Source organism: Homo sapiens, chromosome 9, assembly GCF_000001405.40.
Source record: "Homo sapiens chromosome 9, GRCh38.p14 Primary Assembly".
NCBI classification, from domain to species: domain Eukaryota; kingdom Metazoa; phylum Chordata; class Mammalia; order Primates; family Hominidae; genus Homo; species Homo sapiens.
In genome coordinates this window covers 97,155,153-97,181,350 of record NC_000009.12, presented here as the reverse complement: position 1 = coordinate 97,181,350, position 26,198 = coordinate 97,155,153, and the positions used below count along the sequence as shown (strand labels likewise).

The 26,198-nt window shown below is 36.4% G+C and overlaps 1 pseudogene across 1 annotated transcript in view, besides 1 other annotated feature; it reads left to right on the top strand.

The window, feature by feature from the left end:
* The window catches only part of ANKRD18CP (ankyrin repeat domain 18C, pseudogene), an 82,850-nt pseudogene extending 57,392 nt beyond the window's left edge, over nt 1-25,458 (top strand). Inside the window, exons 11-18 of the transcript NR_136286.1 lie at nt 435-1,354; nt 2,938-3,087; nt 8,291-8,403; nt 10,615-10,744; nt 18,505-18,786; nt 19,385-19,596; nt 20,949-21,169; nt 24,766-25,458. The product of NR_136286.1 is annotated as an ankyrin repeat domain 18C, pseudogene (transcript). The remainder of the gene's footprint in view (nt 1-434; nt 1,355-2,937; nt 3,088-8,290; nt 8,404-10,614; nt 10,745-18,504; nt 18,787-19,384; nt 19,597-20,948; nt 21,170-24,765) is intronic.
* Nucleotides 12,832-13,081: an enhancer, noted in NCBI's record as "active region_28656". NCBI's record gives its function as "activates an Ori minimal core promoter by ATAC-STARR-seq in GM12878 lymphoblastoid cells {active_cell/tissue: GM12878}" and the evidence as "EXISTENCE:reporter gene assay evidence [ECO:0000049][PMID:35858748]".
* Nucleotides 25,459-26,198: the final 740 nt, after the last annotated feature.

Genomic DNA, 26,198 nt, shown 5'->3' with positions numbered 1-26,198 from the left:
TTTATCTGTCCAAATAGATGTGGAGGTAAAGCTCTTACTATAGGGTGGTGTCTGGGTTAGGTATCAGAGTATAAATGCAATTTTCTTTTTCCAAGATTTTAATTTAGTCAAATTTTTTAACAACTTCATGCTTTGAGTTTGTTGTGATCCAGAGAAAGGCTTTTCCAATTCTGATATTCTTAAAAATTCTCTAGAGTGTGTGTGTGTCTGTGTGTGTGTATGTATTTTATGGATTCATTGACTTCAAATAAATTTTTGAACTTTTTGAAATGTATGTTCTCTAAGGTTTAAGGTTTTGCTTCAACTTTTTCTCCAGTTGGATATCCACTTACAGCAACTTTTAATTGCATGAATGTACAGGTTGTTCTTTCATTTCAGAAATAACCAACATATGTTGTTTTATTGAGTGCTAGCTAAACATTTCTTTTATTTAGGATTCTCAAAGTTATGGAAAAAAGAAGGATGTGATGTATGGAAATTATATGTTGAAGAGAGACATTGCCATGCTCAAACAGGAATTATACGCAATAAAAAATGACAGTCTCAGAAAGGAAAAAGAATATATTCATGAAATTAAAAGTATTACAGAAATAAATGCTAACTTTGAAAAGAGTGTAAGACTCAATGAAGAAATGATAACAAAAACAATTGCCCAGTATTCACAAGAGCTCAATGATCTGAAAGCTGAGAATTCAAGGCTGAATTCAAAATTGGAGAAGGAAAAACACAACAAAGAGAGACTAGAAGCTGAAGTCAAATCCCTCCATTCTAGCCTGGCAACTGCTATAAATGAGTACAATGAAATTTTGGAAAGAAAAGACCTAGAACTAGTTTTACAGAGAGCAGATGATGTTTATGGACAAGAAAAAATGGGTTCTGATATTTCTCAACTAACAGATAAGAATGAGTTGCTTACTAAACAACTTTCTAAAGCTCGGGTGAAGTTCAGTACCTTAAAAGCTAAGCTGCATGAGACAAGAGATGCTCTCAGGGAAAAGACATTGGCTTTAGAAAGTGTACAGATGGACCTAAAGCAAGCACAGCATCAAATAAAGGAAATGAAGCAGATGCATCCAAATGAGGAAGCTAAGGAGAGTCAATCCACTGGAACGCAGAACTCTTTAGAGGAGAGAATATGTCAACAAGAACTCGAAAATCTCTTGCTTGAACAACAACTAGAGGATGCTCATAAGGAAGGCCATAATGAAGAGATAGTCATTAATATCCAAGGAGGCTGTCTTGAGAATGGAAAGGAAGATCTTCTAGAAGAAAAAAGTATGGAATTAATGAATGAATATAATTATTTTAAAGAAAAACTTTCAGTATGAAAAAGAAGCAGCAGAAGGAGAAGGAAGTATGAAGAAAACTATTTATAACCTTCTGGAAAGAAAATTTAAACATTTCATTCTGGCTATATGTTGAACCTAGTTCAATATAAAAATAAATAGATGAAAATGTGTTTACCATACTTTGTAAGTCCATTTACATGAATCATCCAGGAAATACAGGTATAGGGACAGAAAGAAGATTAATGTTTGTATAGCCCTGGGGCTGGAAGTGGGTCATGACTGCTAATGGGCATGAGGGATTGTCCTGGAGTGATGAAAATGTTCTAAAGTTGAATTGTAGAGATGGTTGCACAACACAGTAAATTTACTAAAAATCTTTGAACTCTTTGTTAAAACAGATAAATTCTATAAATCATATTTCAACAAAGCTGTTTTAAGAAAAATCATATTTCAACGAAGCTGTTTTAATAAACCAAAAAAAGTGCTTACTGTATCAGCTTGGAAACATACTTTGTTTTCAGGAAATAAAAGGTGGAGCTGAGAGATGCTTTCCTTTGAGTAAAGACGTTATGTCACCTGTGAAATTTTAGTAGATACAGAGCATTGTTGATAAGGTATGTAGTCTTATACTACTGAAATAATAAAGGTAATGTCTTTATGTTGCCACATTTTAAGACCATAATGAAGCGGGTAAGTGGAAATGCTTGTACCTGAAATGTGTATTTTGAAATTAAGATTCAATTAAGTAAGCCGCTTTGACACTTAATTCTAGATTTCCCAGATGAACTGAAGTGTGTTGCGGTGTCTTGTGATGCTTTTCCTTCAGTGGCTCTCTCTTTTATGTATTTTAGTTGGTATAACTTTGTTTTGATTCATACCAATGTGACTTAAGTCTGAAAATATGTCAGTCTCACATTATGTATTTTTCTGACCACTTAGTATTTTAAAGACTTCTACTTGTTATAAAATCCAATTTGGAATAAATGTGGTAAATTTTAGCAAAAGATATTTGATGTAATGTTTCCACTGGTAGGTGTTTATAATTTACTGTGAATATTTTTATGAATAATTAGCTCATAATTTACATTTTAAGTCTCAATGAGTATCATTTGGATATAACTCTTTCCAGTACAAAGATACTTGTAGCTGTCTGTGATTTATGAGTTTGACATTGAATCCCCATTTTCAGACTAATGAGGGGTGGCAGAGTTCACGGAGAGTGGGATTGAAGTTTGTACAGGACAGAGTTGTAGGAGCTGAGGTCAGGGAGGGAGGTAGAGGCCATGTTACCTAGGGCCTTGAAGGCCGTTGGAATTTTAATTTTATTCTGAGATAGGAATCTGTTGGAAGGATTTCAACAGGTGACTGAATATGTGAGGACCTCAGGTTGAGTTGAGGGTCTAAGGTGAATGAATAGCGGGCTGAATCAATCTGTCATGTAAGAGAATACCAATTTGGCAGGAAGATAAAAACTTCTATGTCCCTCACTGAATTCAGTAATAAAGAAGAAAGTGTACATATAAGGGAAAGAAAGTGAATCTGTGTGTGTGGTAATAATTTTCAAAGTATGTATGCTAGAGTTAAATATGATTAACATAATTTAATAATAAGGTACTTTATAAAATTGGTAACAAAAATATTTTGTCAGGTGATTGTAAGACAACTTCAAGAAGAACTGGCTGATCACCTTAAAAAATTTTCAATGTCAGAGTCTCCACTGGAAGGTACATCATATTGTCATATTAATTTGGATGAGACACGGACTTCAAAGAAGAAATTATTTCAAGTAGAAAGTCAAGTATGTATGGAATTTAACATGTAGACAGTTAATCTGTAGCTGGTTGAATAATATAAAGTGTTTTAGGATACTAATTTCAGTGGACAGCTTGATTTTGTATTTTCATTATAATTGATCATTACCATTTTATTATCTTTATAACGTACTTACTTCTTCAACTCTGGCTCTTGTCCTGCCGTTTTGAAAAATAGTTGCATATGTTTTCTCTTACAATATCTACTCTTGGGAAAGTTGAGAATGATACATCATTCCTCACAGAAAATTGACTTTTTTCCTGTTAAACAGTATTTTTAGATAATTTCCTTAATGCCTTGGTGAGGCAAGCCAGATTAAGTCAGAAGAGAATGTTTAATGGAATATTCCAGAAAGTTGTCTTATTTCTTCACTTTTGTGAATGGACACAGAAGCTGTGCCTATTCATTTCATGGATTCTAGATTAACTTGTACAGAAAGGCCATCATACTGTTCTTTGAAATGCACACGTTTTAGGTTAATTTACAAACTACTTGAAAAGTTAGGCATTGCCTTCATCTTCTTTTCATTTAAAATATACTGTAATGGCATAGAAATACTCAGATCTAATAGAGTATGTACATCCAAAATAGAGAGCTCAGAAAATTATCTGGATCCTACCATGGGATTTTAAAAACAGTTTCACTGAGAGATAATTCACATGTCAGACAGTTCAACCATTTAAAATGTACAAATCAGTGTCTGTTAGTATATTCACAGTGTTGTGTGGTCATCAGCACAATCAATGCTAGAACATTTTCACCACTCTCAAAAGCAACCCCACATCTCTTAGCCATGACTGCAACCCCACTCCATGTCTCTCCACCTACTCCAGTTGTAGGCAACCACCATCCACTTTTGTCTCCATAGATTTGCATGATCTGCATATTTTATATACATAGAGTCATACAATATGAAGTCTTTCTGACTGGCTCTTTCACTTAGCAGAATGTTTACAGAATTTTATCCATGTTGTAGCACATAACAGTAGTTTATTCCGTCTTATTGTCAAGTAATAGTCTATTTCATGGCTACACCAGTTTTCCATTCATTCATCAGCTGATGGACCTTTAGGTTGTTTCCACTTTTTGGCTATTATGAAAACAGCTGTTGCAAACATTCATTTACAGGTTATTGTATGGACATATGTTTTTAATTCCCTGCTACTGGACTTTATCCTCAGAGTTAACTGGGCAGATGTCAGCACCAGTTTTACCCATGCTGTCCTTCCTGCCTTCTCAGTTCCTGCTCATCTAGCCTCATTCATTCAGACCTGGCAGGCAATTTCCTCTTCATGAAGCTTTCTCTGACTGTTCTCTCACTGACTTTACATCTAAGCACTTGTTTTCCAGTCTGCAGAACAACTTAGCTCTTAATTTGACATGGCTTTTAATTTTTAATGGAAGATAATTTTGTCTTAACATAAATTTGCTTAAAGGGAAAATAATATATGACATGCATGTCACCTATCCTTGTATAAATTGAAAATATTTTAGCTTGGCAGCTTTCAGCATAGAACAAAATATACCATACCAATTATTTCTTCTTTGAGACATTAACACAGTAAATCTTTTATTCTAAGTGTATTTTCAGCAATTAAATATGAAATTAAAAGCAATTAGTCTAATAGAGGAGAATTGTTCAATCAAATGCTCATGTTTTTCTCAGTATGAAAAAAGAATCTAAATTTGCCTCCCTTCACTATGTAGCCAAACTGTATTTCTGGATGGTTGCCAGTTTGTCAGCTGAACAGTTCTGGCTGCAGCTTGTCTGATGAAGGATAGCACAGCCCCTTAATCTGAGCGCTCAGCAGAGTACTCGTGAAGGCAGTGCCACAGCAACAGCTGCTGGGAGGGGATTCAGAAGCCTTGATTTAGCAATAGAGTCCAGGGTTTTCAGTTCCGTGGCTCAGCCCGTCTCTGCTGGTCATGTCCGTTATGTACTACTCAATCCAGGAGGTGCTGTTTACATTGTAGTACATACATGACTGTTGCCCACTGAGTCACACAGAGAGAAAAGTAAGCTATAAATTATATGCTCCCCATTTGCTGCCACTTTCAGTAGTGTGAAGAATGATTCAGTGCAGCTATAGGAGACCACCTCCATTGGAATGCCACCTGTCTAAACATACAATGGTCAAGATATAAAAAACAGTAAAAATTATCACGCTAATAGCAAATATTGTCTGTAGCTCACTATGTACATGTACTCTTCTAAGTGCTTCTAAGCAAATCTTATCTGTAGCTCACCATGCACCACGTACTCTTCTAAGTGCTTCATGTCAGTCCCTGGTTTAATCTTCCCAACATCCCAGTGAAGTAGATGGTATTATTCACTCCATTTCATAGATATAGAACCAGAGACACAGAAAATTAATTTGCTCAAGGTCACACAGCTAGATAGATCTGGGATTCAGACCCAGGCCTTCTGGCTTCTGTGTAGAACTGCCTCTCAAACCATTCCATGGAACACCTGGTTGGTGAGGTGGCTCATGCCAGTAATTCTAGCACTTGGGGAAGCTGAGGCAAGAACAGTGCTTGAGCCCAGGAATTTGAGACCAGCCAGAGCAATATAAGTGAGACCCTGACTCTACCAAAAAAAAAAAAAAAAACAGTTAGCTGAGGGATGGTGGTGCATGCCTGTAATCCCAGCTACATTGGAGGCTGTGGTAGGAGGGTCACTTGAGCTTGGAATATGAAGGCTGCAGTGAGCGGTGATCGAGCCACTGCACTCCAGCCTGGGTAACAGAGCGAGACACTGTCTCGTAAATAAAATGTTTTGTATAGATTCCCATAGAATTGAGTTAGACATCAGGCATAGAATTATTAGCCACTTTGATGTCTGCCTTGGGAGTAAAACATATAATAAGGGGCAGCTTTAAACCATTTCAATCAATAGCCTCTAACTTCTCCAGAGGTTCTTATTTTATGAATTCCTAAGCAGGAGACTACCTGGATTAAGACATTTGGTGGACACCATTCTGAGATGAAGAATCTCGATTAGGCGGAAGGGAGATCTCTACTTGACTGGAGCTTCCCAATGACATAGTTGAGTGTCCCCCAAAAGAAACTTTAGAACAAGATGTTTATCATGCCATATCTCTATGGAAAAGGAAATTCTTTAAAAGAAAACAAAGGCAAACAATTGATAATCTGTTTCTTATGGGAAAGTTTTCATTATAAAAGAAAAAAAGGGCTGGGCACCGTGGCTCACATCTGTAATCCCAACACTTTGGGAGGCTGAGGTGGGTGGATTTCCTGAGGTCAGAAGTACAAGAAGAGCCTGGCCAACATGGCGAAACCCTGTCTCTACTAAAAATACAAAAATTAGCTGGTGGTGTGCAACTGTAGCCCCAGCTACTTGGGAGGCTGAGGCAGGAGAATCACTTGAACCCAGGAGGTAGAAGTTGCAGTGAGCCGATGTGGCACCACTGCACTCTAGCCTGGATGACAGAGTGTGACTCCATCTCAAAAAAAGAAAAAGAAAAAGAAAAAATGGACAAAGTATACTGGTCCAAAAAAGAAGAAAGAAAGAGAGAGAGAGAGAGAAGAGAGACAGAGAGAAAGAGAAAGAAAGAAAGAAAGAAAAAGAAAGAAGGAAAAGAAAGAAAAAGGAAGGAAGGACGGACAAAGTATACTGGTGAATATCCTAAGGGTGAGACAGTCCCCTTCAAGATTAGAAAATAACACTGTACTCAAAGTAACATCCATAAGAATCAACATAAAATAGACAAGATTCACTATCTACAAAAGTAATCTGCACCAAGTAGCAATGTATGAGTGTGTGGTTGAGAATATTGCCTATAATATGTGTACTAGAGGGAAGAGGGCTCAGTAAAAAGGTCAGAGCTGGAAATTTATATTAGGGAATCCAGGTTAACGTTTTGAGATTTTAGCAGTTATGAGAGAATTTAAAAAGAGGAGTAGCAGCCGGACATGTTGGCTCACACCTGTAATTCCAGCACTTTGGGAGGCCGAGGAAGGCATATCATGAGGTAAGGAGTTCAATACCAGCCTGGCCAACATCGTGAAACACCATCTGTACTAAAAATACAAACAATTAGCTGGGCAAGGTGGTGGGCACCTGTAATCCCAGCTACTCGGGAGGCTGAGACAGGATAATTGCTTGAACCCAGGAGGTAGAGGTTGCAGTGAGTGGAGATCACACTGTTGCAGAATCAGGAGGACCAGAGAGAGACCTTGGGGTGTATACAGGAGGATGTCTTTATCGAGTGTACTCAGACCCAGCGGACTCAACATCTGACAAACTGGGCCCAGAACAAAGACAGCACTTGACTTTTATACACACTTCAAAAATGGGATGGGCTAGCTTGAAGCAGGCTTACAGTTACAGTGGTGTGAAAGCATGAATACAGAGGCAGAACAATTAATTAAATTGTGACAGGTTCATAATTTAGGATTACACATGACCTTTGCCAAGCAACCCAGATGTCTGTTATCTAGATTTTGCTCTAAAGAGCCTTGCACTGGTTTATCTCAAGTTTCAATATAAAAACACAATAAGTGATAAAAAATAGATCTCTGGATGAGACCCTGTGTCATAGAGTCCAATGGAAGGGGAGAAACAGGATAATAGAAAAGCCACAAAAAGTAGATAAAAGTTATTATTTATTATAGAAAAAATAAAATTTGTTTAAAGAGAAATGGTTAAGAGACAGGGAAAAACTGAAACCTACAGGTGAATACTTACAGAGAATGACAGTATTTAGCTCAGCCTGAAGACAGATGAGGATCAAAAATGTAATGGGAACTAGATAAGAGTTTTCTAAAAATCATCTTAGTAAGATGTAATTTAACTTGGAATATCTTAAACTATTAATGACAAAGTTTTTAGAGCATCTTTAAAAACTAAAATGTAAATATAAATATAACTACTCTTAATTTATCTTACTAACCCTTAGTATTTTATGTGTAAAAACTCTCATTTTTAACAAACATTTTTGGCAGTTTAAATTTCAGAAAAGATAATGATGAAAGTGTGAATATTTTTTAGCTGTTTTCAGAAAATGACTAGTTTTGAAATCTGTCGTTATTGGCATCAGGTTTATAAAATGCACTTCATACAACTGCCTAAATACATATTATTCATCAACTTATGAGAAATAATATTTTTAAGATAGAAGAGGGTCTCTAGATTTTACAAAAATAATTTTAAACACTTTTTTTTCAAGCCTGAAGAAAAACATGAAGAACTCGGAAAACTTTTTGAGTTAATATCATCACTGGACTGTAATGTAGATCAAATAAGAAAGAAAAATCATGAATTAGAAGAAGAGGCAACTGGGTATGGTTTTCATATTGTAGAACATTTTAACCATTTAGTAATTGATTTAACTCTAACTTTACTTGACTGAAACCTTGATACAAATTCATTTTATGTCTGCATTTTCATAATTAAACGAATTCTATTTTTAAATGTATTTCAGAAACTCACAACTTTATAGGCATGTGAGCGGGAGTCCATGACCCTTGGACTTTTTTGTTGGAATTATTTAAAAAATCAAATTTCAGTATAAAAACAAAATAAGTGATGAAAAATAGATCTCTGGATGAGACCATGTGTCATAGAGTCCGATGGAAGGGGAGAAACAGGGGGTTGGAGTCAGCTGAGCTGCTGGGGCGAGGTTGGGATGAAAAAATTTATATTAAAAATATGTGAAAAAAGAACACAGTCTGAAATTTTTTTGAAAGCCAAAACATTACACTTATTTTTATTTATTTATTTATTTATTTATCTTTTGAGACACAGTCTGGCTCTGTCACCCAGGCTGGAGAGCAATGACATGATCTCGGCTCACTGCAACCTCCACCTCCTGGGTTCAAGTGATTCACTTGCCTCAGACTCCTGAATAGCTGTGATAACAGGGGTGCACCACCCCGCCTGGCTAATTTTTGTATTTTTAGTAGAGATGGGGTTTCACTATGTTGGTCAGGCTGGTCTCGAACTCCTGACCTCATGATCCACCCTGCTTGGCCTCCCAAAGTTGGCATAAGCCACTGCACTTAGCAACATATTCTTTAATGGTTTTGAAAACAATAATGACAACGCTTTGACATGTAATGTCAAGTGCACTCTTCATTATCTAGTTTGAACTTTTATTTCTGAAGACATTTTTGCTATATTTGGTCATCTTTTCTTCCTTTTGTAATATTCTCTGCTGTATTCAAATTTTTTAAAGACCTATTTGTGTCCTTCTTTAACATCAAAATTTATCTTCATATATAGCTTGTATTTTGTTTCTGCTTCTTTGTTTTTCTTTTAGATATAAAACATATCATGGAAATTTACTCATTTTATGTGGGTACCTCCATTGTATACATGAAGTATACATCTTATTAAACTTCTGTTTTACAGAAATAAATTTTATATATAAAAAAAGTATAACCTAAAGAAAAAGAGTAAAATGAGCATTCATGTTTTGATCACAGATTTTTTTTTTAAAAAATGGAATGTGTCTTTGAAGCCCTGAACGCAGCTACTTTTCTATGTATTTACTGAGCACTTAAGTTGGTTTTCTGATTCTAATCAACATTTTTCTGTCATTGCCTTTCTCTACATGGTTTTGTATCTTTCATTTTATTGACATTATGTCAGTAAAGATCTCTAGATCTCTTCTTCAAAGTCTTTAAATCATCACATATCTCTCTCCACCTTTCCTTTTTTCTAAAACTGCCTGTTTTCTTTTTCTCCTCAATTCAGACATTAAAGATGTTTTCTTCTCTTTTTCTACATTGAATAATGTCCTTGTGCTTTTTGTGTGTACTTTTTTTTCTTCTTATAGACTGTGGTCAACGGATATCAAAATGTATTTTTGTGTCTTTCTCAAACATATATGTGTTTTACTTTTTTTTAATCTTGGTTACTCAACTCTTGGTTATGCCTTATATTTACTAATATGTTATTTTATCTTAGCATACCAAAATGGATATGAATAGTTTATAAAAAACTGTATGGTTAGGCCAGGTGTGGTGGCTCATGCCTGTAATCCCAGCAATTTGGGAGGCCAAGGCAGGTAGATGATTTGAGGTCAGGAGTTCAAAACCAGCCTGACCAACATGGTGAACCCCATCTCCACTAAAAATACAAAATTAGCCAGGCATGGTGGTCCATGCCTGTAATCCCAGCTACTTGGGAGGCTGAGACAGGAGAATCACTTGAACCCAGGAAGCAGAAGTTGCAGTGAGCCGTGATCACACCATCACACTTCAGCCTGAGCAACAAGAGTGAAATTCCATCTCAAAAAAAAAAAAAATAAAACTGTATGGCTATAATATCACTTTACCTGCCATATATGCCATAAAATTGTTCTTCATATTATTTATCTAAGATTATAATTTCATATAGAATGCTTTCAAACTATGTTCAGTTGAAACTGAGAGGATCATAGTTTATAGATTTGTTTCTTTGATATGCCATAACATAATATCTGTTTAAACAATTATTAAATATTTACTCTTAAAAATACTTGACTTACTAGTTCTTACATTTCTGCAGATGTAAGAAATGCCTAGAAACGACAATAAATATGTTAAATGTATTTGGAAATGAAGACTTCAGTTGCCATGGAGACTTAAATACAGATCAACTGAAAATGGATATTCTGTTTAAGAAGCTAAAACAGAAGGTAATTTAAAAAAATTATTATTTTATCTTAAGGTCTAGATTACATGTGCGAGAGGTGCAGGTTTGTTACATAGGTAAATGTGTGCCATGATGGTTTGCTGCACATATCAATCCATCACCTAGGTATTAAGCCCCATAGGCATTAGCTATTAATTTTGATGCTCTCCCTCCTGACCCCAACAAGCCCCAGTGTTTGTTGTTCCCCTCCCCAAGTCCTTGTGTTCTCATCATTCACCTCCCACTTATAAGTGAGAAGATGCAGTGTTTGGTTTTTTGTTCCTGCAGTAGTTTGCTGAGGATAACAGCTTCGAGTTCATCCATGTCCCTGCAAAAAGCATGATCTCATTCATTTGTATGGCTCCATAGTATTCCATGATGTATATACACCACATTTTTTTGTCCTGTCTATCATTGATGGACATCTGGGTTGATTCCATGTCTTTGCTATTGTGAATAATGCTGCAATGAACATACAAATACATTTATCTTTATAATACAATAATTCATATTTAAACATAAGGTAATTTTAAATCAGTTTGGGGATTACAATTATGTAATTTGGAGAAATATTAATGATGGATAAACCCAAATTCGGCCAAAATACATTTAAGGAGGTTGATTCTGAGCCAGTATGGTGACTGTGGCCCTGGATTACCCAATCTCAAGAGCTCTGGAGAATGTTTCATGAGACAGTCACATTACAGTTTGGTTTTGTACATTTCCAGCAGACAGAGTTGTAGGGAAAATCATAAATCAATATGAGGAAGGCATACATTGGCTCAGCCTAAAAGTGGGACATCAAAAAGAGGGGCTAACAAGTCATAGGTGGGTATTAAGGATTCTTTAGGTGACAATTGATAAAGAAAATCTGTTGTCTAAAACTGGAAATAGGTATAAAGGACGGCCTTAATTAAGATAAGGTCATTATGGAGGTTAAGGTTCTTATTATGTAGATGAAGCCTCCTAGCTGGCAGCCCTCAGAGAAAATAGATGGTAAATATATCTTTTCAGACTTTAAATGCATCAGGATCTTAGTTAATCTTCCCTAGATCTGGGAAGACCTAGAAGGGGAGAGATTGGGCTACATTAATGAAGACTTCTTACAGATGCAAATTCCCCCACAAAAGACAGCTTTGTACGGCCATTTGAATCTCTTGGCCCTGCAACAGCCATTTCAAAATATGTCAAAAACTATATATTTGGGGGTAAAATACTTTGATTTTTTTCAGCTCCTTCTCTCTGTGATGCTGTGCCAGAATCAGGTTAGAAAGTAAGCCACATTATAAGAGTTAATAAAACCCATCTGATGAGATTTGATTGAAGGGTGTGATTCCCAGACCCTTTAGATAGAAATTGGGACAAAAGAATACAAGGTCTTGCTCCTCAATATAAATCTCTCAGTACTTTCAGAAGTGAAAGATTATTCATTTAATTTTACAGACTTGATACTAATAAAAAGGATACTTTAAAATATATATATGTATATATTTTTCTATACAAAAGACATGCTGTTGATTCTCTTATGTTTTGAACCCTGGCCAGTGATCTGAAACCAAGCAGCCCATGTCTCCAGATCACTAGTACCAAATAAATTTCGGGGTGTAACAGGTTTATTGAGAAATAATTAACACACCATGCAATTCACTCCTTTAAAATATACAAGTCTTTGAATTTTAGTATTTTCAGAGAGTTATGTAATCATCATTACAATCAATTTTAGAATATTTTCATCACCCTAAAAACAAACCCCACATCATTTAGCTATCTTCACTAGTTTTCCCTTCCTCCCTCAGCCCTAGGGAACCACTCACCTTCTTTGTATAGATTTGCCTATAAGCCTCTGAAATAAAAAGCAAGTGGTCTACTGTGACTGGCTTATTTCACTTAACATAATTTTTCATGCTGCATCTGTGCTGTAGCAGGTATTGATGCAGGGCTTTTGCTCCTTAGTTCAGCTAAATCTGGGTTCTTCTCTCATGACCAGGAAAAATTAGCCATGTGGACACATTGAAGGGTGAAAAGGACAGAATTTATTAAGTGAAAGGGAAGCTCTCAGCAAAGAGAGGGGTCCTGCAAACAGATTTCCACCTCACAATTGAATACCAGGACCAGCACACATTAGCTGAAGAGGCCAGGCTCCTCCTCTGCATAAGGCATGAATTCTTGGTGGCTCCACCCCAGCTCCCCAGTGCATGTGGGCCTCCAGTCTGCTGCTGGCATGTCCAGGCAAGCCCCTGTGCAGGTTCCCTTATCTGCACCAGATGTTTTATCTGTGGTAGACACTTGTGTGCCTGGAGATTCTCTGGGGACCCTTCCATATCTGCCTAGGCATTTTGCTGTCTCCTGCTTCTATCAGTATCAGTACTTAATTTCTTCTTATTGCTGAGTAATATTCCATTGTATGGATGCATCAAACATTTTATGTAACCATTCATGAGGTGATGGACCTTTGGGTTCTTTCCAGTTTTTGATTCTTATTAATAATGCTGCTATAGGCCAGGTGTGGTGGCTCACACCTGTAATCCCAGCACTTTGGGAGGCCAAGGCAGGTGGATCACGAGGTCAGGAGTTCAAGAGCATCCTGGCCAACATGGTGAAACCCTGTCTCTACTAAAAATACAAAAATTAGCTGGGCATGGTGTTGCATGCCTGTAATCCCAGCTACTCAGGAGACTGAGGCAGTAGAATTGCCTGAACCTGGACCCAGGAGGCAGAGGTTGCTGTAAGCTGAGATCACGCCACTGCACTCCAGGCCTGGGCTACAGAACAAGACTCCGTCTCAAAAAAAAAATAATAATAATGCTGCTGTAAACATTTATGTATGAGTTTTTGTGCTTGCATATGTTTTTATTTTTCTGGAGTATATACTTATGACTGGAATTTCTGGGTCATATGGTAACTTCATGCTTAACCTTTCGAGGAGCTGCCAGTTTGTTTTCCAAAGTGGCTGCACCACTTTACATCCCCAGCAGCATTGGTTAAGGGCTTTAATCTCTTTACATTTTTCCTAACACTTATTTTCTTTTTTTATTGAACAAAGATTTCATCCTGTGGTGTGAAGTGATACCACAAGGTGGTTTTGATTTACATTTTCCTAATGACTAATTACATTAAGCATCTATTAATGTGCTTATTATCCATCTTTATATCTTCACAAAGATTTATACCAATGTTTTCTTCTGAGAGTTTTATAGTTTTAGCTGTTACATTTAACTGTTTTATTTTGAGTTAATTTTTAAATATGATATTAGGTGAGAGTCCAACTTTATAATTTTTTTTTGCACGTGGATACCCAGTTGTTCCAATATCATTTATTGAAAAGTCTATGCTTTTCCTATTCTGTTTTTTTGTTAACCTTGTATAAAATCAATTGACTGTAAATGTGCAGGTTTATTTTTAGATTATCAATTCTTAGTTTATGTCTATTCTTATACCAGGACCAAATCAAATTTAATGAGAAAATTTTTTCAATCATGTTGCCTATTACCAGTTATCTTATGTCATAATAAAAATTAAATGTAGTAGAATATCTTTAACTTCACCTTTTGTATCTCAAAGGAGTCTCTGGCCAGCTTATAACTTACTTACTCTAAGACATGATGGGAAGTCAGCCTTACAAGACACACTATTTCTTTTTTTCTCCATTCAAACCCTTAGTCTCTTATCCAGTGCCTCCCTCTATAGTTTCATTTTCAGTAAATTTTGGTCACAGAATCTGCTGACATAGTCTACTATTTGGTGCCTTATGTTTTACTAACTCATTATAATTCATAGAATCATCCATAGATGTTTACCATCCAAGAAGGAGAAGTTTAAGTCTGAGCTGCCAGCTTTCCTCAGTGGAAATCAAGTGAAGTCATCATCTTTCAGTTTGCAGATCCTCTTTCCACCTGGTAACTGGTTCTCTTGGGTAGCACTGTGGCTAATCCTTTTCTTGGTGCAGATCTTGCATTCTCAGAAACCACAGTTTCTGTATTGACCTCCTTTTACTGAAACAGAGATGCACAGCTCTGCTTTCTAGCTCAGTAGAGGATTCTTGGAACAAAAAGTTTAACTCATTCCAAGAAAAAGTTTTAGGAGTGCAGCACTTAAAAATCAGGTAATATTCAGGCAATTTATCAGAGACAAATAGTAGATTAGTATTTTGAATTTCAAAATTTCAGAGCCAAGTTGTGTGCTATAGAGAAGCATTGTGGTATAATATAGAGATGGGATGGTCTTAACGTCTCCATACAAACAAATGTGAAGTAAGGTAAAGGAGAAATTGCATTTGATGTCTTAACACTCAAAGTATGCTATGTTTATTTTACTTCTGTGAAGAGTAAAAGTCATTCCATAATTTTCTCCTTATTTCCTCATTGAGAAAAAAGGAAAATGAAAATCGAATACTAGATTGATTAATAAATACTCAAAGCTTCTTCTTTTAGAATTTTCATTAATTGAAATCAGGTAAATGTCTGATTTTGGTTATGTAACCAAGCATTTCCAGTTGTTTTTCAAATCATACGTCTTCTTGCTTCACAGTCTTATTTCCTAACTTGTGGGGAAATTGTAAGGAGACACCCTTGCCTTGTTATCAGAGTTCATAATTGAAGGGGGTTTTAGGAAAAGTTCCTCCTCAGCAGCTTACATCTCTCTCCTGGTTATCTGCTGCTTCTCAATAATGTTTCTCATCAATAAATTAATCTCAACATTTATTAGATCCTATTTTAAAGGAGACTCTTTTCTGCTACATAAGTTATGTTTCCTGTTGTCTCTTTTTTAAACTTATTTTTCTAACAATTACCCAGAGTTTTGTGGCTTAAAAGAAAAACATTTATATTGTTCATGAACCTGTGGTTTGGAAAAAGATTGGCCAGGACAGCTTGCCTCTGCTCCCCTAAGCTTCCCTAGGAAGTTGGAGAAATTGAATCATCTGAAGCTTTGCTCACCCATGTGTTTGATGGTTGATGCTGGCCATTGGCTGGAACCTTGGCTGGGGCAGGCAGCATGAACACTGACACTGGCACTCCCAGGCTGTCTTTGTGGACTGATCTCTCTCACAATCTGGGGGCTGGGTTCAAAGGGAAAGCAGTCTGAGATGAGATAGGGAAGCCACATGGTATCCCTTGTACTGCATTCTATTCATTTGGAGAAGGCCATCAGTAAGGATGACCCATATTCTATTCTTTTAATGGGATGAATATAGATTCTCTTTTGTTTTAATTGATATGTATATACATAATTATGGGCTATAGAGTGACATTTTGATACATTTATATGGTGCGTAATGATCAAGCTAACTAGCATGTTTACTACTTCTTACTACTTCAACCATTTTTCATTTCTTTGAATTGTGAATATTCAAAATCTTCTAGCTTTTTAAAAATATTCAATAAATCATAGTTAACCATATTCACCCTACAATGCCACAGAACATCAGAACTCATTCCTCTTATCTAACTGTAATTCTGTATCCATTAACCAGACTCCCTCCCTCTACTTCTATGAGCTTTTTTGTTGTTAAGAGACAGGGTCTTGCTAATGTAGTCTGGGCTCTGGGCAACTGTAGTCATCCAGACTAGAGGGTGATTTGATCATAGCTCACTGCAGCCTCAAACTCTTGGGCCCATGTGATCCTCTGACCTCACCCCTCCTGAGCAGCTAGGATTATGGGAGTGCACCATTGCACCTGTTTGATTTTTTACTTTGTAGAGATGTCTCTCTATGTTGCTCAGGCTGCTCTGGAACTTTTGGCTTCAAGTGATTCTCCTGCCTCGGTGTTTCAAAGTGCTAGGAAATTACAGGCATCAGCCATGTTGCCCAGCCCTCAATTTTTCTTTAGCTCCCACACATGAGTGCGAATGTACAGTATTTATCTTTCTGTGTCTGCACTTAATGTAATATCCTCCAGACTGATCCATGTGGCTACAAGTAAGAGGATTTCATTTTTTTATATGGTGAGTATTCCATTGTGTATGTGTACCACAATTTTTTTGTCCATTCATTTGTTGATGGACATGTAGGTTGATTTTATACATTAGCTGTTGTGAATAGTGCTACAATAAACATATGAGGACAAGTATCATTGTGATCTATTGTTTTCTTTTCTATCGCCTGAATACCCAGTTAGTGGGGTTGCTCCCTCGGCAGTTCCATTGTTCATTTTTTGAGAAAACCTCATGTTGTTTTCTATAGTAGCTGCACTAATTTACCTTCCCACCAACAGCATGTAAGAGTTCACTGTTCTCTGAAACCTCACCAGCACTTTTTTTTGTGTTTTCTATGACAGCCATTTATTGAAATGGAGCAAGATTATATCACATTGTAGGTTTGATTTGTATTTCCCTGATGATTAGTGATACTGAACATTTTTAAATGTATTTATTGGCCATTTGTATTTCTTTTTTTCTCTTAAAAAAAAGAGAAATATCTAATCAGATCTTTTGCCTAGTTTTGAACTCAGATTATTTTTGTTTACTGTCAGGGTATTTGAGTTCCTTGTGTATTTTGGATATTTGTCTTTTATTAGATGAATAGCTTGAAAATATTTTCTTCCATTCTACAGGTTTTCTCTTCACTCAGTTGTAGTACCATTTGTCTATCATTTGTTTTTTGCCTATGCTTCTGATGTCTTACCTATACAAATCTTTGTGCAGACTAATGTCCTGAAGCATTTTCCCTATGTTTACTTGTAATAGTTTGATAATTTTGGGCCTTACATTTCAGTCTTCAATCAATTCTGAGTTTATTTTGCTATATGGTGTTAGATAGGAAGCTAGTATCATTCCTCATATGGATAGTTTCCCAGTGTCATTCATTTGAAGAGGGTGTCCTTTCCCCAATGTATGTTCTTGGTACCTTATTCCAAAATAAGTTGGCTGTAAATATGTGGATTTATTTCTGGGTGCTGTATTCTATGGCCTTTACCCCAAGAATCATTACTTCTTAAAATGCAATTCAAATTAGCATGAAACCTGTGCGGTTTGGGGAAAGGCTTATGGTATCAGAATTCTTATTTACAGGATTCATTATTTTGTGTTTTTTTGAGATATGGTCTTTGTCTATCATCCAGGCAGAAGTGCTGTGATGTGGTCATAATTCACTGCAGCCCTGAACTCTGGGTACAAGCCATCCTTTTGCCTCAGTCTCCCAACTAGCTGGGTCTACAGGCCTGAGCCACCATGCCTGGCTAATTTAAAAAAAATTTTTTTTTGTAGAGATGGGGGTCTCACTATGTTGCTCTGGCTGATCTCAAATTCCTGACCTCCAGTGATCTTTCTGCCACTGCCTCCTAAAGTACTGGGATTACAAGCATGAGCTACCATGCCTAGTGTAGAGTATTATACTATTTTCAAAGTTTTATTCTGAGAGCCATTTATTGACTTTGGCCTAAATAACTCAATATGATATCTCTGAAAGTTTTTTTGACAAATTTTGGGGAATGATGATGAGGGAAGAGGGTTAGACACTTTTTACTAAGAGATAACTTAGTGCCATTTAAGGAGGAACAAAAATGAATTATTAGAAAAATAAAAGTAAAAGCAAGTGCAAAAGTTCCGTGGCAAAGATGATGACAGTAAAGCATATTTTTGTGACTCATGGTAGCTTTAACTTTGTTCTTAAAATTCTGAGTAATTTAAGGGTTCACATTTGAAGAATCTACTGCATTATAGATAACATTTTAATGCAAGTCAATGCATTTCAAAATTTGCTATTGGTTTTGTATTAGATTATTCTCAGCCTACTTCATTATCAAGCTCTATTATTTTATTAATGCAATTTGATGATCTTATGGCCGAGAAGGAAGCTGTATCTTCAAAATGTGTCAATTTGGCCAAAGACAATGAAGTTCTTCATCAGGAGTTATTATCTATGAGAAAAGTACAAGAGAAATGTGAAAAACTTGAGAAGGATAAAAAGATGTTGGAAGAAGAAGTATTAAATCTTAAGACACATATGGAAAAAGATATGGTAGAACTTGGTAAAGCACAAGAATATAAATCGGAGCTGGATGAAAGGGCAATGCAGGCAATAGAAAAATTAGAAGAAATCCATTTACAGGTTAGGTTTTAAAATCAGGTAAGTTTATCTGTAATGGGCTTTCATTTATTTCACTGCAAACTATATTTTGGATATGTATATATTGTGTTTCCTCTGCCTCTTTTACGGCAATTTCTTTGTAGAGTTCTAGAAAAAAAAGTGATGTTTTTTCCTTTTAAATATTTAAATTTCCATTATTATTATAACAAAATCAGTCTTTCAAAGTAATGATTCTCACTATAGAGTAAAAGGGGGGATTTGATAATTAAGATGAGTTGGCATAAGAGAAAACTGTGATTTAGAAATTATATGATACTTTTGAATTGGTCTTAAGCTACGTTGTTCATTGTTCACTTTTTAAAATTATAAGTGGATTCTATTACTTTTTATAGGACCAGATTACATTAATACTAACATAATTATGATTTCAAATTTTTATAAATCAGACTTAATTCTGAATTCAGTTATTAGTTTTGTTGATATTGCTGATAAATATTTTAAGCTTCAGCCTCTTTTTAACATATTCAAAATTGCTCTTCGAATCACTGATTCAAAATGAAAGGCAACAAACATATGGTAATTAACTTATAATTGTTTTAAAAGTGTATTTTCATTTTAGGAACAAGCAGAATATGAAAAACAATTAGAGCAGTTAAACAAGGATAATACGGCTTCACTAAAAAAGAAGGAACTCACAGTTAAAGATGTGGAATGTAAATTCTCCAAAATGAAAACTGCTTATGAAGAGGTTACAACTGAATTAGAAGAATATAAGGAAGCCTTTGCAGTAGCATTGAAAGCTAACAATTCCATCTCAGAAAAAATAATGAAGTAAGTCCAAACATATACTCATAGAAAATGAATTAAGCTCATTAATTTGTTTTGAAAGCATAATTTTTAGTGAGATGGCTTCAGGGGATCAGTAGGAAGTGAATGCTAATTTGATAATGTAATTTTGGAAAATAATGTTAGTAAATAATCCTACCTTTAAAATGTTCATCAAGGATAGTTTCTGTCTCTCTTCTCCTTTTTTGTTTTTATGTGGCTTTTTTCCCCTGAAAAGTCTCATGTAGTTAACCTGACCTGTTAGTTTTTTTCGCTAAGTATTTTTGAAGCTTTATGATTAACAAAGTGATCTTGTTATAAAATTACTTGTCAGAATTTCCCTAAATGGAAATATTAACGAGTTTAATTTATTTTTTGGTAGATCACAACCTAAACCCAAAGTGTCAAGTGATACTGCTACTCTGGGCACATCCTGGCACTCAGGCAGGGACTGTTTTTGATTGTGATCTTTAGGTGTTATCACTAGAGGGTGCCTCAAGAAAGACTATTTGCATAACATTTTCAAGATGTTACATAAAGGCATCCTTGTGAAATAGGGAATAATTATCACAGGAATGAAAAGAAGTGTAATCCACAAGGTGGTTCAAAAATAACACTTTGTTCAGCCTGAAGGGGTGTGTGGAAGGCAGAAAGAACAACCCCACCTCCAGTGCCTTGGTCACAGTGTTGAGGGCTAATTGCCTTCAGAGATGTTTTAGTTCTTTTTGATCACCAACCAGTCTAGTTCTACCCCAGGAGTTGTTGCTCTGAGTTATTCCTCAGTGCCAAATACTTAAGTGTTCTTAGATAATGGGTGAAATGTACAAGGGTGAAACATGAAACTGGTTTACTAAACACAAGTATTTCTAGATTATTTTTGTTCATTTTAGTTTTCTTAATCTACATTATTTAAGGAGTACAACATGATGCTTTGATATAATTATTTATAATGAAGTGGTTCTTATAGTCGAGCAAATTAACACAATCATTTTCCCACATAGTTACCCTTTAAATACAAATATTTCTAAAGGAATCTTTAGAATCTTACAAGTAGAGCTATTTTAGAAGGCAGCTAGGTTACCTACTGAGCCATACATCACTGATAGCCATTTCTCTTCCCTGTCTACTTTGAACTGCTTGTTCAGTAGAAATCAACTTAGAAACACATAGACTTATTTAGAATGATTTTAAAATTATAATTACTTACAAGAGGTATGCTCTCACACATATTAATGTGAAAACACTGTTTAGTGGGTAATTTGGTTTACTCTAAGGGCAACTTTTCAAAAAATGCAAGTCACTAAGAATCATTCAAGGAAAAATGAAATACTAAGCATTTGTCTTTGCTCTCTTTACAGATCAGATAAGAAAATAGCAGTGATCAGCACCAAGCTCCTTATGGAGAAAGAACGGATGATATTTTCTCAGCACTCTTCCTATGAGGCCAGACCCAGAGTTACCTTGTGTTGAAAATCTTAATAGTATAGGACTCAACAGAAAATATATTCCCAAAATGCCCCTAAGAATTCCTACTTCAAACCCACAGACTTCAAATAACTGCAAGAACTCCTTGACTGAGGTTAGTTATGTGACCGTTTCTCTTTTGGGTTTCATTTCTCTAATATAATTCTTGTTTTTAATTTGGTGAAATACTGAGTTGTTCTGTTGACTTATGCATGCTAACTAAAGATTATAACTGGCTTTGTTAACACAGAAAGGAAATGGGAACTTTACATTTTTTAACTCCCCAGAGCTCTCATTTTCAAGAGGCACCCATTGGCTAACTTTATTCAATAAATGTGGCTAAACTGACATATTTAAAATTTCTTTAAAAGCTGCATTTAAGTTAGCTTTTAGAAATTGCATGTTATTGCCAAATAACTGATGGTATACTTGGAGATGCTTTGTCTTACTCTACTTGATTGTAGTTTGTCTGTGGGTCATATCATTTTTTTTTTTTTTTTTGAGATGGAGTCTCGCTCTGTTGCCTAGGCTGGAGTGCAGTGGTGTGAACTTAGCTCATTGCAACCTCCGCCTCCCAGATTCAAGTGATTCTCCTGCCTCAACCTCCCAAGTAGCTGGGGCTACAGGTGCCAGCCACCACACCTGGCTAATTTTTGTATTTTTAGTAGAGATGGGATTTCACTGCATTGGCCAGGCTGGTCTTGAACTCCTGACCTTGTGATCCACCTACCTCAGCCTCCCAAAATGCTGGGATTACAGGGGTGAACCTCCGTGCCCAGCCCATACCACTTCTAAAGTTTCTTTGCACCATCTTAACTCTGTCCACCTATAATCACAAGTGAATGACTGGCAACCAAACACTTAACCACATATAGATATTTATTATTTAATAGAATCCAAAATAAGTGCATTTTATGAATTAAATAAACAAAACATTGAAAGGTTCATTTCCATTTTTCTGTTAAAAGCTTTGTGCTTGGCCAGGTGCAGTGGCTCACGCCTATAATCCCAGCAGTTTGGGAGGCAGAGGCAGGTGGATCACCTGAGGTCAGCAGTTTGAGACCAGCCTGGCCAACATGATGAAACCCCATCTCTACTAAAACTACAAAAATTAGCCAGGCGTGGTGACAGGCACGTGTAATCCCACATGCAGCAACCCCATTACTATACTAGGGGTATACCTAAAGGAAAATAAACCATTGTAACAAAAAGATGCATGCACATGTATGTTCATTGCAGCACTATTCACAATAGCAAAGACATGGAGTCAATCCAGGTGCACCCAAGGTAGATTGAAAATCCAAGGTAGATTGGAAAATTCCATATATACCATGGAGTACTATGCAGCCATGAAAAGAACAAAATCATGTCCTTTGCAGCAACATGGATACAACTGGAATCCACTATCCTAAGCAAACTAACGCAGAAACAGAAACCAAATATCTCGTTTTCACTCATATGTGGGAGCTACACATTAGGTGCACATTGACATAAACATGGGAGCAATAGACACCGGGAAATAAGAATGGGGAGGCACAGAGTGGGCCAGGGTTGAGAAACTGCTTCTTGGGTCCTATGCTCACTACCTGTGTGATGGGTTCAATTTTACTCCAAACCTCAGCATTCCTCAATATACTTTTGGAAGAAACTTACACAGGTACCACTTTAATTTAGAATACAAACTAGAAAAAAAGAAAACTTTACTATACAAATTTTTTTAATAAGTAAAGAATATAAATTTCTTTTTAAGAAAAAATTTATTGAAGTAAAAAAATGGATTAAACTTTTATAAAGAACAGAGTTTTGCTAAGAATTTCAAAGCAATGCATTCATTGCAAAATATGACTTTAATTGTTTAACCTTTTTTTTTTTCTTTTTTTTTTGAGATGGAGTTTTGCTCTCTCACTAGGCTGGAGTGCAGTGGCACGATCTCGGCTCACTGCAACCTCCACCTCCTGGGTTCAAGCCATTTTCCTGCCTCAGCCTCCCAAGTAGCTGAGACTAGAGGCACGCACCACCACGCCCAGCTAATTTTTGTATTTTTAGTAGAGATAGGGTTTCATCATGTTGGCCAGGATGGTCTCGATCTCTTGACCTCATGATCTGCCCACCTTTGCTTCCCAAAGTGCTGGGATTACAGGCATGAGGTGTCATGCCTGGCCATTGTTTAACCTTTGTACTAATAAAACACCACTTTTCTAAAATTATTTATATCTAATAGACCAATATTATCTATTTTTGTCAGATTACTCTAAACAGCATTACACAGAAACATCCTCTATTATCTCAACTTAAAATAAGTAGAAATTTTACTTTACTTATGTGATTATTTTTCTATTTAAGCAAACTTCATGTTATGTCTAGTCACTAAAAATACTAAAGGCCACATTTTGTAAGTGATATATTAATCTCATGATAATGTCTCTTGTTTAACTTAAACATTATCATGTTTTTTTACTTATTTTAGATGGAGCCGGACTGTGTAGAACAAATAATTACAGAAACAAAGAAAAGTATGTTGCCAAAATGTATTAATTAAATTTAGGTTTATTTTAGTAATAAAGTGTAAATAGCAAATGGCATTCCTTTTCATTGTTGGGTTAGTAGATACTATGGTATCTTTTTCTTACACATATCTAATGAAAGATGTGAAAACAAAAACTTTAACAGTGAAGAGTATACTTATGCACCATTAATTCATAGCTTAAAAAATTCCCAAGAAGTGTATCCATCTCTTTTTACTGTTCCATAGCTTAAAAAATTCCCAAGAAGTGTATCCATCTCTTTTTTACTGGCTCTACAATTTCTTCACTTTTGCCATCCTCATGGAACTGTCAGCTGGCACACTGAAACGATTCTCCAAAAACAAAGGCATCATCAGGTTCTCAGGATTTTGGTAGAGATTGAAGGCCAACAGGCCTCAGATTCATTTAGAAATACTTAGCTGAGCAATAACCCTTCATAAGCAGTCACTTGACAGGTGACATTTTAAATATCCTGTCATTTACTGTGTCATTGGCTTACATCTGTTCTCAGGAAAAGTTCCAAAAATTTCACCATGAAATAAAAACACCCATGTCAATGTAATTCTTGTCAGGTTACTCAGCCTTGTCTCTTGCCACTTACTGCACTCTGCCCTTTGCTCTAGCACCAAAGTGGACAGAGTAGAACTCCACAGGGCTCTTTGTTACCTCAGGCTCTTTGCTTTCGCCTCTTCCCTCTATCTGGCAAGATTTTCCTTGTCCTTCAGGCATCAACTTATCCATCCCCTCCACCAGAAAGCCCATGATATTGACACAAAAGTGGGATAGATGTCCCTTCTGTGTGTTCCAGTAGTGCCCTGCTGTATACCTGACATGGTATTTATGACTCTATATGGACATTACCTGCCTGTCTTTTAGGTTATAGCATATGACTATTGGGAGGTGGACCATGCCATCTTCATCTTGTAATTCCAGTGCTCGTTCTAGTACCTTAGCATGTGGCTGTTGAGTACATGAATGAAGAATGAAAAAGCTGTGATATTTAACCACAATTAGAATTAATGCCATGTGTAAATTATTTAATAGTAATTTTGTATTGTAATTGTACGTACATATTTCTCATTCTTATTAACTCTGATAACGTTCTCAACTCTTTAGATTTTAAACTTACACTTTGTTAACTGAAATGTTTTAGGTAAAGAACATAATTCTTTCTTTTTCTTTCCAGCTTTTGCTGTGTTGAACACTTGCTCCCATCTCCTTTCTTCTCTAGAATCCACTGGTAAGCCACATCTAATGAAGAGAATATTTAACCATAAAATCTTAAGGAAAAGCATGAATTAAAAGATCATAAAACTTTATTACTGGGCTATTTACATGAAATTTTAATTGTTTCTCATAAAATATAAAACATCACAATCTTTACTAAAGTAGAATATTTTCATATCATGTATGATGAATATTTATATGTTATTTTAAATGATGTTTTTTAGCCTCCTTAAGTTTTAAGTGGATCTTGCAAATGAACACCAGTATTATTGAGTTTGACCTACTCAAATTGCCTGAATGCCAGCTGTTTAAACAGCCAAACAACCAAGTCATCATTGATACTTTAGTAAAGGTCATCGAAGGCTTCTTTGCATTTTACAGTTTTTATTACTATATATAGTAGGAGACTTAAAGAGTATCTGCCAGGTTCGTCCATACTAATGTTACAATTTTCTTTTTGTAGTTCAACAGTATTTTTTGTGGAGATACTTTGAGGCTCTGTAAATATCTGGTTACTCCTCAAAACACACTAGATTTAGCATTTCATGGATGACTTGTGTTTGAACAAGTGTTACTGTGATGGTTGCCAGATGATTATTTTTCTTATTCTCTTCTTTGTTCTACATGGTGAAATAAAACCAATAAATAAAGGTGAAGGCAAAGCTCATGATTCTGGTGCTCCAATTCCCTGAGATTAGGCCAGTGGTAGACATTTCAAGCTGACTTTATGTCTTTTTGATTTGTCCCCGTTACTCTGTCAGCACTTTTTTAATTTCTGGCACAAGATGTTCTAAACTAATCTTGTGTTTTCTCTGCCCTAGCCCTAGAATGAGTAATTTTTCTTATAAGCAGAGTTGGAGCCACTGAGGAAGCACAGGAGAGCCCTCCCCAGCACGCGCTCACTAGTCCCCAACAGAAGAACCGCTGCCCCATCCACTGAGGTACCAAGAAACTAGCAAAGGGCCTTCTAGCTGTCTGGGGACAGTCCTCATGTGGTCCCTGGCTCAGCCTCAAGGGTTCTGGATTAGTTTCCCTGCAGCCTCTGTGCTGTGTCTCCAGATCAGGGCTCTGCGGGAAGGGCCCTGGGAGACCCAGCAGCACAGGGTGTCTCGTCTGCCAAATGTCCCTCCCTTCCTCCCACTCTGACACTCAGGAATAGGCTACATGGCATGTCTAGGCAGTGCCAGGCCACCTCACTGTCTCCTTTGAGATGGGCCCACACGGCCTTGGGGGGCGAGTGTGAAGCTGGGTACCTGGAGCCTGAGGCTGACTGTCCCTCCCTGTGTCTTGGAGGAGAGGCCTTACAGCCCAAGAAAACCCCCAGGGCCTGACCTCTGGGCACACATGCAGGAAGGAAGGGTCTGTGGGCTGATGGGGGCATTGTAATGAGAC